At 44.9% G+C, this 12,657-nt stretch overlaps 1 annotated feature.

Annotated features, from left to right (window-relative positions):
* Positions 11,610–11,899: an enhancer, noted in NCBI's record as "active region_18357". NCBI's record gives its function as "activates an Ori minimal core promoter by ATAC-STARR-seq in GM12878 lymphoblastoid cells {active_cell/tissue: GM12878}" and the evidence as "EXISTENCE:reporter gene assay evidence [ECO:0000049][PMID:35858748]".

The raw sequence follows: 12,657 nt of genomic DNA, 5'->3' as shown, positions 1-12,657 counted from the left end.
GTTGTTGTTGTTGTTGTTGGTGGTGTTTGTTGTGGTGGTGGTGGTGGTGGTGGTGGTGGTTGGTGGTGGTGGTGGTGGTGGTGTGTGGTGTTGATGATGGTGGTGGTGGTGATGGTAGTGGTGGTTGTTGATGGTGGTGGTGGTGATGGTGGTGGTGGTGGTGGTTGTTGGTGGTGTGGTGATGTTGGTGTTGGTGGTGGTTGTTGTGGTGATGTAATTGTTGCTATGGTTGTTGTTGTTGTTATTGTTGTTGTTGTTGATAATGGTGATGATGGTGTTGATGGTGGTGGTGATGATGGTGGTGATGGTGGTGGCGGTGATGGTGGTGGTGGTGGTGGTGATTAAATAGCTGCTAATGATGGTGATGGTGGTGGTGGTGGTGATGGTGATAATGGTGATGATGGTGATGATGGTGGTGGTGATGACGGTGGTGATGGTGGTGGCGGTGATGGTGGTGATGGTGATGGTGGTGATGGTGGTGGTGGTGGTGGTGATGATGATGGTGGTGGTGGCTGTGATTATGATGATGATGGTGATGGTGGTGGCGGTGATGGTGGTGATGGTGATGGTGGTGATGGTGGTGGTGGTGGTGGTGATGATGATGGTGGTGGTGGCTGTGATTATGATGATGATGGTGATGGTGGTGGCGGTGATGGTGGTGATGGTGATGGTGGTGGTGGTGGTGGTGATGATGGTGGTGGTGGCTGTGATTATGATGATGATGGTGATGGTGGTGGTGGTGGTGGTGATGGTGGTGGTGGCAGTGGCAGTAATAGCTAATATATATGTAGCATTTCTCTGTGCCGAGCTCTATTCTAAGTGCTTTACATACATTAATTTAATCCTGACAGCAATCTTATGAGTTTTACAATCCCCATTTACACGTAAGAAAATGAAGCACAGAGAGGTTATGTCACTTGCCCAAGGTAATACGGCTCATAAAGAGAGGCTCCCAATACCTTGCTCTAAAATATTTTGCTAATAGCTTTTTCCGAATTAGAGTTTCGTTAAAGTTCTCTTTCAAAGAAAAAGTATAACCTGGTGAGTTAAGACTATCAGTCATTCACACATGTGTATAAATGACCTTAATCAAACATTACTGCAAATACATAGGAGTTTTCATTGAAGATGGAAAGGGAGACATGGCACTGGAGGAGAAGCCTCTGAAGAAGGATAGTTTCGGGGGTGGGGGTGGAGGGGATTTTACAGTTGGAGGGGCTTACCAGAAGGCAGACACATCTGGGTCAGGAAGAGGATGTCTGAAGGTGAGCGGGTCCCAAACATGTGGGTTATTTGCCTTGCAGATTTTCCAAGAGACTGCCATTGGCATGTACAGACTTGGTTAATTTTTCCAAGACTACAGTGGATTCACTTTTTAAAAGGTGAATATAGCACTTCCCCAAGACCATGTATTAGTTAAAATAGTCATTTCAAATCATTATCATAATTGATTCAACTGCCTAGTAATTGCTGCTGCCTCCCCCAAATAAGCAAAACATGCATTTAGGAACAGGCTTAGAACATTCTATGTATTCACAAATTATGTTTTCACACAAGGAAGAGGGGAGTGATGGAGAGGGGAGAAAAAAAGGTTCAGGGGAAGTGGTCCTAGTGGGCTGCTGTTATTTCTCATGATTTCCTCTGCATTTGGTAGAGTAGATGCTCGATAAATATTTGATGATAACTGGAGGGAAGAGCACACAAAATAAGTCAGGGATATTCCTAAAGTAAGAAGTCTGATTCGACACTGGTGATGTTGATGGATAACTCATTTGTAGTCATATTTTGCGTGGATTTTTTCCCCAATATTCTTTTTTTTTTTTTTTTGAGACAGAGTTTCACTCTTGTTGTCCAGGCTAGAGTGCAATGACACAATCTCTGCTCACTGTAACCTCCGCCTCCCAGGTTCAAGTGATTCTCCTGCCTCAGCCTCCCGAGTAGCTGAGATTACAAGTACCCACTGCCATGCTGGCTAATTTTTTGTATTTTTGGTAGAGACAGGGTTTCACCATGTTGGCCAGGCTGGTCTCGAACTCCTGACCTCGGGTGATCTGCCTGCCTTGGCCTCCCAAAGTGCTGGGATTACAGACGTGAGCTACCGCACCTGGCCTTTTTCCCCAACATTCTAAAGTCACTGATTCTCTGAGTGGAGGGGGAACACTAACAGGTTGTGGCTATTTCTATTACAACCCATGTCATTGCTTATTTTTTAAAGCATTTTCTGTATTCATTTCTTGTATTCTGTAATCCCAAAGAGGTATGGTACACCAGCTCAATGATCTCATTAATGAAATTATGTCACTAGATGAAATATGAAAGTAAATGGTTTATTAAGGACATAATGTGGTTGGTGTGTAATACCAACTACTGGGAAATGTTTCATAGAGAGTCCAGGTAGGGTGAATGAAGAAAGAGAGAATGGGTCACTGCTTTAGACTGGTGGGTGAGGGAGAACCTATCTGAGGAGGTGATATTTAAGCCAAGAATGGGATGCATCAAAGAAATCAGCCACGAAAAGATGAGGAATCCATGCCTGCTGTGTCCACAGCATGGACAGAGGGGCTGGAGTGGGGTAGAGGACAGAGCATGGTGGGAGATGAGTCTGCAAATGTAGGAAGGGTCTTGACCAGGTGGGACCTTCTCAGCCAAGGAAAGGATGGTGGTTTTAATTTTAAGTGCAATGGAGAAGACTTGGGAGGGTTTTAAGCAAGGGAGTGGCATGATGTGATTTGTTTTGGAAGAACACCCTGCTGCGTTTGAGGAATGGATTGGAGGAGGAAGAGAGAACCATTAGTAGGCTCTTGGCAGGAGTCCAGATGAGCAACTGTGGGGCCTCGTGCTAGCTGGAAGCACAGAGGACGGAGAGGGAGGGCAGAGTTGAGATGTGCCTCAGAATGAGAGTGGGCAAGACCTACTCTGGATTCAGCAAAATGAGAAAAACAGCAGAATTAAAAATTTGATGTGTGTCCTGAGCAGCTGGGTGCCATTGACAGAGATGGGGAAGACTGGGGATGGACTAATTGATTTTTTTTTTCTTTTTGAAGTGGGGTAGGGAGTGGATCAAGAGTTCAGCTTCAGCTCCATTAATTTTGAGATGCCTATTAGGCATTAAGAAGGGATTCCAAGCAGAACATTATAGATGCAGCTCTGGAATTCTAGAGAGAGCCCAGGCCTGGAAACACAGAGCTGAGAGCCCCTTGCAAGCAGGCAACAAACAACAAGCATTTGTACCAGGTGTGGTGGCACGTGCCTGTGGTTCCAGCTACTTGGGAGGCTGAGGTGGGAAAATCACTCGAGCCCAAGAGTTTGAGGCTGCAGTTAAAAAAATAATAAAATAAATAAGCATTTGTGCAGCAGCTTACAGCTTACAGACACCTCTGTGTGCCTTAGCTCATTCATCTTACAGCAATCTTGTGAAATTATTACTTCTGTAGTTTTACTGATTAATAATAATATTTCCCATTTGCATCTCGGTTTAAAGTTGCTACAATACTTTCCCACAGGCTGTCTCATTTTGCTCTTTCTAACAACACTGGGAAATAGAAAGGTATGAGTGATGGTGGCCGTGAGCAGTCATTACACCTGTTGACACTCGTACCTGTAGAGGCACACAGATGAGAACATATGATTCACACACCTGTGCTGATGCTCTTTAAAAGCAGTCAGATTTTTTTGTGTACATAAGAGCCCTCTGCTGTTCAGAGTGGATTTATCTATTACTCGAGATTTTCCAGCTCAACAGTATGAAAGATTGAATCAGACTTCTCTTTAACTTTTGTAAAATGCTCTTGGGGTAGATATCTTACATAATGAGCAACAATTTTAAAAATAGTTTAACTTGTCATAATTAAAAATACCTCCAGCATGGTGGCTCATGCCTATAATCCCAACACTTCGGGAGGCCAGGGTAGAAGGATTACTTGAGCCCAGGAGTTCGAGACCAGCCAAGGCAACATAGCAAGACCCCCATCTCAACAAAAATAAAAAATTAGCAGGGCATGGTGGCACATACTGTAGTCCCGGCTACTCGGGAGGCTGAGGTGGGAGGATCAATTCAGCCCGGGCAGTCGAGGCTGCAGTGAGCTATGATCACAGCACTACACTTCAGCCTGGGTGACAGACCAAGTGAGACTCTGTCTCAAAAAAAAAAAAAAAAAAAAAAAACAGAAAAAAATACCACCTTCATATTAGAAAACTCAATATTTTATTTTTGAAGAAAACAACATTGAGAGAGAGAAACCAAGCGGTTTCATGTTTAAGACTTACTTTTTTCCACCACTAACTACCCAAATCTAGATATGGTCCTTGCATCAACATGGATGCCATTTCATGGCTAAAAGAAGGTGAGAAGCATCTAAACCTTTATAATGTCTGTTCATAGGAACACCACATAAAATCAGTAATTTAATACTTTTTAAAAAGTTTTGAGGCCAGGTGCAGTGGCTCATGCCTGGAATCCAAGCATTTTGGGAGGCTGAGAAGGGCAGATCACAAGGTCAGGAGATAAGACCATCCTGGTCAACATGGTGAAACCCCATCTCTACTAAAAATACAAAAAAAAATTAGCCAGGTGTGGTGGCGCACGCCTGTAGTCCCAGCTACTTGGGAGGCTGAGGCAGGAGAATTGCTTGAACCTGGGAGGTGGAGGCTGCAGTGAGCCGAGATCGTGCCACTGCACTCCAGCCTGGCAACGCAGTGAGACTCTGTCTCAAAAAAAAAAAAAAAAATTGAGAAGCCTTATCATATCTATTAGTGTGCTTTACTGTTCATGGATAGGGTGGCATTTGAATCAGTCCTTAAAAGATGGAGATGCATAAAGGGAAAGATGGGGTAGGTCGTTGATGATGTAGAGGTTGTGGAAGCAAATGGCCAAGGGTGTGCCAGGGGGAATGAAGACCTTGAAACCAAAAGAATCGTAGATTCTAGAGCTGGGACATAAAGCTGGAAGACCACCCAGCAAGACCGGCTAAGGGTCTTCAGTGCCAGCCAAGTTTGGCCTTCACTGGGCTGGCAGTAGGGACCCCAAAAGACTCATTAACTGGGCAACAATGATCAGATCTGAGCTTGAAAGAATGTTCCAGAAGGCAAAGGGAGAGCAGCTGATGCAACGAAGGGACAGGATAAAGAATAGTCATTTACGGACCTCTTACAACCATCCACAGACACAACAAGGGTAGGGTAGTCAACAGCTAGGGTAGTCAGCATGGAAAAGAAAAAATAATAACATTGCAAGTAGGAAGGGAAAAAAGGAAGATGGCTGAGAGAATGGAGGAGCCAGGGCATAAATTACTACAAAAAGCCTTGAAAAATAAGTTCCATTGTATCAACAACAAAACAACAACAGCGTCTCTCGTACTTATGAGGCCTACCTCTATATACACATCTGCTCACTCCTAGGGCTGGCGGGTTATTCCCCAGGCTCATAGCTGCCCCTAGTCCTGGGATCCATTCCAACCTTAGGCTGGTCATATTTCAGTATCACCTGGGAGCAAATTACCACCCCCTAAGGGGACATTTGAAAATGTCTTAGAGCACTATCCCAAAATGATTGATAAAATGACTTAGGGTGGCTACCAGCATTTGGTGGGTGGGAACCAGGGATACCAAACCTCCTGCAATATTCAGGAAATAGCCACACAATGCAGAATTGAACTATCTGTAACCCAGCAGACCCACCATTGGGGAACACTGCCACAATCCCCCCTGGATCCCAGTTTGATAAACGGGCTGCTGCTGTGTTCTCTGTGCCCGAGTTCGTGTCTCAGCCAAGGGCCTTATAGCAACATCCCTGTAGGTCTTGGGTGCTATCTTGGTTTACTCCCCTTTGTCTTAAGGACCAGAGTCCTTCTCCACAGGCTTCCCTGTGGCCTGCTGCCTGACTGCCCACCTGCTGGGTACTCGGTGCTCCCAGTGGCCATCCTCTTCACGCCCATCAGATACGCCAATCCCCGTATCATACTCCATGACTCATCTGCTGGCATTGACCACAGACTACCCTGCCCTATCCTTTAGCATTCTGGCCAGCCCCAAATACAGGCCCTTCCTTAGCATCCACCAGGGAACTGCCTCTGCCCAGACACTTTCGGTCTGCCCCACTCAGTAACAGTTAACTAAGCAAATTTCCTACTTAACAAGTTAACAATACAAATTTCCAAGCAACACAAATACTTTGAAAGTACAGACCAACATTTCTGCTAAAAGAACAAACCCTCCCATACTTAATGAGACATCCACAAACCAAGACAAGAAGAACACGGCTCCTCCAAAATTCTCCTTTCCAACTGTATTAGTCTGTTCTCACGCTGCTAATAAGGACATACCCGAGACTGGGTAATTTATAAAGGAAAGAGATTTAATGGACTCACAGTTCCACATGGCTGGGGAGGCCTCGCAATCATGGCAGAAGGCAGAGGGGAAGCAAAGGCACATCTTACGTGGCAGCAGGCAAGAAGGTGTGTGCAGGGGAATTGCCCTTTTATAAAACCATCAGATCTCATGAGACTTATTCACCATCATGAGAACAGCATGGGAAAGACCCACGCCCATGATTCAATTACCTCCCACCAGGTCCCTCCCATGACACGTAGGGATTGTTACAATTCAGGGTGAGATCTGGGTGGGAACACAGAGCCAAACCAGATCACCGACACTCCCCATGGATTTCCTTGGACTTAGGACTTTCAGAGTCTCATAGTGAGCTTGAGGAACACAGCTGACTCTGCACCGAATTATGTTCCCTGGTCACACAATGACTTCTGCTCACTCCTCAAAGTCTTCCTGAAAGTTGGGGCACTGTGGTAAGCAGACTAATGGCTCCAAAAATACGGATGCCCTAATCCTCAGAGCCTGTGAATATTTTCCCTTACACTGCAAATGGGATTTTGCAGACGTGATTAAGTGAAGGATGTTAAGATGGGGAGATTATCCCAGATTATCCAGGTGGCCCAAGCTAATCCCATGAGTTTTTAAAGAAAGATGGCAGCATCAGGAATTGACTGGTCATTGCTGGCTTTGAAACCAGAGAAACGGGCCAGGAGCCAAGGTCCCCAGGAGGCCTCCAGACACTGGAAAAAGCAAAGAAGCAGAGCCTCTCCTGGAACCTCCTGGAAGGAACACAGGCCAGCCGACCCTTTGATTTTAGCCCCTGGAGGCCTGTGTCAGACTTCTGGCCTCCAGAATTGTCAGATAATAAATTGGTATTGTTTTAAGCCACGACATTTGTGGTAATTTGTTACAGTGGCAATAGAAGATGAATACAAGGAATAAGAACAGAGGAATGAATTATATTTTTGCACTGAGCATAAATTTGGTAGACATAGGAAAATCTTAGAGGGTATAAAGAAATGAAGTTGAAGAAGTGTATTAGTCAGGGTTCTCAAGAGGGACAGAACTAATAGGTTAAATGTATATATAAAAGGGGAGTTTATTCAGGAGCATTGACTCACTTGATCACAAGATGAGGCCCCACAATAGGCTGCCTGCAAGCTAAAGAGCAAGAAAGCCAGTCCTAGTCCCAAAACTGAAGCACCTGGAGTCTGATGTTTGAGGGCAGGAAGCATCCAGCATGGGAGAAAGATGGAGGCCAGAAGACTCAGCAAGCCTAGTCTCCCCACATTCTTCTGCCTGCTTTTATTCCAGCCATGCTGGCAGCTGAGTAGATTGTGCCCACCCAGATTAAGAGTGGGTCTGCCTTTCCCAGTCCACTGACTCAAATGTTGATCTCCTTTGACAACACCCTCACAGACACACCCAGGAATAATACTTTCCATCCTTCAATCCAGTCAAGTTGACATTCAATATTAACCATCACGAGAAGGAAGATTTTTTCCCCTCACATTAGAAATCCAAGGAGGGGGGAGAGCAAATAGAGCACAATATTCAATATTTCACCAATCCAAAATCTTTTCCGCACATATACTGTGTGTGTGTGTGTGTGTGTGTGTGTGTGTGTGTGTGTGTGTGTGTATTCTGCATGCCTTTTTCTTTTGTTTTGTTTTTTTGTTTGTTTTCTGAAACAGGATCTCACTCTGTCACCCAAGCTGGAGTACAGTGGTGCAATCATAGCTTATTGCAGCCTCTAACTCCTAGGCTCAAGTGATTCTTAGAACATCTTAGAAGATCTAATCGCTGATGACCATTGTAATTTTCTGAGAGTGGGTTTTACTTTTCAATGTTTGCTCCATTTATCTGACTGTGGCACTCCCATTTTTTAAACGGAGGATCTTGTGGTTGTGATGTTTTGTGGCATATACTTGAGAAAGACCATTCTGATCAAAGAGAACCAGGCACGTGCGAGTATGGGTGGGAAAGGTGGGAATGTGCATGAAATAGTAAGAGGAAAGGCAAAGCCAGAGAGGAAGGGAAAGCTAGAGGGAAAAAAATCAGCAATATTCCTACTCTTCCATCAGGCCATATAGGTTCCAATACTCTCTCTGCCATGAACTAACCACGTTAACTCGGATTGGTGACTTCACCTCTCTGGGCCTCAGCTTCCTCATGTATAAAATGTGGATAATAATAATGCCTGTCTTGTAGAGTTGTTAGGACTGAATATGGCAATACGACATAGAGCACGTAAGACAGTTCCTGGCACAATGTAATACTAGCATTGGCTGATGTTACAAGGCCAGAGCTGCCAGACTGGGAAGGGTCTTCCAGTTAGACAGAGGTGCTATGGGAAAAGGCAAGTTTTCCTAGAGGTGGTTTATTTGTGTATTTTTTCATTACAAAATATGTCATGCAAAGTAAAGAATACTTATGTATGCAGGTGTTTGTGTGTAGTCAGATGCAAGATTTGCAGGATAATAATAAAATGAATCCTTAGGGACCTATTACCCAGCTTAGGCAACTGAACATCACCAAAGAAGTAAACCCTTGCAGTCCCCTCCCTGGTCTCTGTCCCTCCCATCCCCTCAAAGGAAACCACTCAGTCTGATTTAGACACTCATCATTCTCTTGTTTATTTTGATAGTTTAACTGCATTTGTCTGTTCCCCACAGACACTGTTTAGTTCACCTATTTCCAAACCTTATATAAATAGGATCTTACTGTGCATATTTTTCCATGACTTTCCTTCTTCATTCAACTTTGTGTTCTAGAGATTCACCCACAGTGAGGTGTTGGCTCTGGTTCATTCATCTCCATTGTTCTCTAGCACCACTAGAGAACATATCATCTCCATTGTTCTCTAGCACCACTAGAGAACATATCTCATACTTTTTCATCTGATTAACGAAACTTTGGATTGATTTCCATATTTCTGCTCTAATAAAAATGCTGCCAGGATGTTCTTATGTGTGTTGTCTGTTGAGAACGTGCAAGGGCTTCTGGATGGCAGGGCGCCTCCAGCTTTCCTAGGTTCTCTGAAATTGTTTTCTGAAATGATCTAATGGACTCACTGTCCCCCTAGTTGTGTACACATGTTCCCTTTATTCATATTTCTTACTCTGGAAACTTCCAAAGGACTGACCAGATAAAAGCTAGGTTTAGGGAAGATCCATTAGGTGAGGGGAGGGGGGGTTAGAGGGGAGAAGCCCCTTACCAGGTAAGATGGACAAGAGGCCAGAGGACATCAACAGGTGCATCCCTACAGAGACCCGAGGGCCTAGCAAGACACGGCCTCCTTTTTGGGCAGAATTCCTACAGTTTCTCTTTTGTGTATGAGTTGGTATCCACCAATAGAATCCACAATCTTTGGAATGCACCCAACAGGATGCATGGCTTGCAAAAAAGCAAAGAGTTACATACTTGAAAATTCTAATGTATTTCCCTGTGTCTGGTAAAAGGATCTGGCCCCAGGAAAAGTACTGTGCATCTTCAAATCTAACCCTCTTTGTCTGTAAATTGGACATCATTATCTGCCTCCACAGAACTGTTGTGTGGCTTGGCAGATCATTAATGGTAATGGGTCCTTGGTCCCTGTAAAACCAGATGTAAATGCTGAGTGCTGCTTATAGTAGGAACAGGTTACGCATATAGTAGGGTGGAAGCACAATCCAACAGGACTAGCCTAAATGTTACTTTTCAGAGACAACTTGAATCTCACTAAATTTTAAACAGGTTAGTTTCGTATCAACAGGACTTTTCCCAAGCCATCAGTTTCCTTTGCCTCCTACACAACCAAGCAGGACTGCCCCAGGGGAGGAAGGCAGAAATCATGGACAAGTTTCCTGAGAGGCCACATCCGCCTGTTCAGGCCTTGCCACCTCACTGCATGAAGGGACACGGCCTCATGTGCATCAGCTGTCATATCTTGGGTTTCTTGGTATTCAAGAAATGCTTTCTTTTCTTTTCTTTCATTTTATTTATTGATTAATTGATTGATACAGTGTCTCTCTCTGTCACCCAGGCTGGAGTGTAGTGGCGCAATCTCAGCTCACTGTAGCCACTACCTTCCAGGATGAAGCCATCCTCCCACCCCAGCCTCCCAAGTAGCTGGGACTACAGACCCATGACATCACTCCTGGCTAATTCATAGAGATGGGGTGTCCTATATTGCCCAAGCTGGTCTTGAACTCCTGGGCTCAAGCAATCTGCCTACTTCAGCCTCCCAAAATGTTGGGATTAAAGATGTGAGCCACCATGCCTGGTGTAAGAAATGGATCTACCAAGTTCAGGCTATTTTGTAATAATTTTCATTGTGTATGTGTGGTTTTTGGTTTTGCTTTTTGCTTTTTGGGTTTGTTTTTTTTTTTTTTTGAGTCAGAGTCTTGCTCTGTTGCCCAGGCTGGAGTCCAGTGACACAATCATAACTCACTGCAACCTCAAACTCCTGGGCTCAAGCAATTCTCCCACCTCAGCCTCCCAAGTAGCTAGGACTACAAGTGTGCACCACCATGCCCAGCTAATTTTTAAATTTTTTTGTAGAAGTTGAGGGGTGGGGGGTTGGGGGGGGGCTCTCACTGTGTTGCTCAGGCTCGTCTTGAACTTCTGGCCTCAAGCAATCCTCCTGCCTTAGCCTCCTGAAGCCCTGAGATAACAAGCATGAGCCACCACACCTGGCTAATTTTTAGTTGTTTAGACTGTCTTGTCCTCAAGGCAACAATCTATTGCAGCTGATTCACGAGGCTCACACCTTTGTAAGTTTTGTGATAATAACTGAGGGCCAGGTTGCAGCCTGAGGCTTCTTGGGTCTGGCTTCCTGTCCTTTCCACAGGTCCTAGGTGCCTCTCCCACCATGCACAAGGCCCTGATCCAGTCCTAGGACAGTTGGCTAAAGAGCCTGTCAGCTAATGCTCAGCCTTTTCCAGCTGTTTACCCCATTTTTCTCATGTGTTGACTAACACTTCCTGCCCCCAAAACCTGTCAGCTCCAAGATGTACTCCACAATCGTTCTGTCTCCCATCTGTCCATCTGGGGCCCAGGGGACACAGCAAGAGTCTCAAAAGGCCCATTTGCATCTCACCCACATCAGTAGAGCAAAAAGGGGGCATTGCTGTAATAAAGAAATAATTGAAGGTAGAAAGTGCTAAAGCAAAAGGGGAAAGGAAGATTATCCAAATGCAACTAAATATAGATTCTACTGTGGGTCATGTTGCTGAGGTGCAGACATTTACAGCAGGTGTTCAGTTTTGCTTAACGCAAGACTCTTTGCAATCATTTTTAAGTAGTACAGTGAAAGGGCCCTTAGGGAAAGAGCTCCCCTTGTTCTCACTTTGCAGATGTAGAGGCCTGAGAAGCAGGGAGGTGAAGTAGTTCACCCACGATCCCACAGCTGCTAAGTGCCAGGGCTAGGACTCCATCCCAGGGCTTGGGACAGTCAAACAGGGCCTCTTTCAACAAGCCCGTATTGTCTCTCAGCAAAGATCTATAAAAAGCTGGATGATAATAAAATAAGCTTATGCAACACTTTTGCCTAATGCAAATTAAGAAATTGATTTCAGGAACAGAAACTTGGGTAGGGTTTGCCCACATACAAACAACACTAAAGAGAAAGTTGACTACTTAAAATAGAAGACACTGTTCTCTCATGTGACTGAAAGGATTATTTCTATTCTGAAAAACTGAGAGGTTGCCTGTCATAAAGTCGTGTCCTCAAATTCAGAAACTTTAAAGTTTAATGCGGCCCAACGCATTGACTCACACCTGTAATTCCAACACTGGGAGTCCAAGGTGGGAGCTTGAGCCCAGAAGTTCGAGACCAGCCTAGGCAACATGGCAAGACACCGTCTCTACAAAAAAAATTTTTTTTAATTAGCTAGGCGTGGTGGCACATGCCTGTAGCCCAAGCTACTTGGGAGGCTAAGGCAGGAGGACCCCTTGAGCCCAAAAAGTCAAGGTTGCAGTAAGCCATGATCACACCACTGCAACCCAGCATGGGTGACAGAGTGAGACCCTGTCTCAAAAATTAAAGTTTAAAAATAAAGTTTTTTAAATAAAAAAAAAAAGTCTGGCCAGGAGCGGTGGCTCACACGTATAATCCTAGCACTTTGCGAGGCCGTGGTGGATGGATCACTTGAGCTTAGGAGTTCAAGACTAGCCTGAGTAACATGGCGAGACCCCATCTCTACAAAAAAATACAAAAAAAATTAGCCAGGCATGGTGGCACACACCTGTAGTCCCAGCTACTCAGGAGGCTGAGTTGGGAGGATCTGACCTCTTGAGTCCTGGAGGTCTAGGCTGCAGTGAGCCAAGATTGCACCACTGCAGTCCAGCCTG

Source organism: Homo sapiens, chromosome 21, assembly GCF_000001405.40.
Source record: "Homo sapiens chromosome 21, GRCh38.p14 Primary Assembly".
Taxonomy (NCBI): domain Eukaryota; kingdom Metazoa; phylum Chordata; class Mammalia; order Primates; family Hominidae; genus Homo; species Homo sapiens.
Note: the sequence above shows the minus strand (reverse complement) of the source record. Positions and strands in the feature narration are given on the sequence as shown.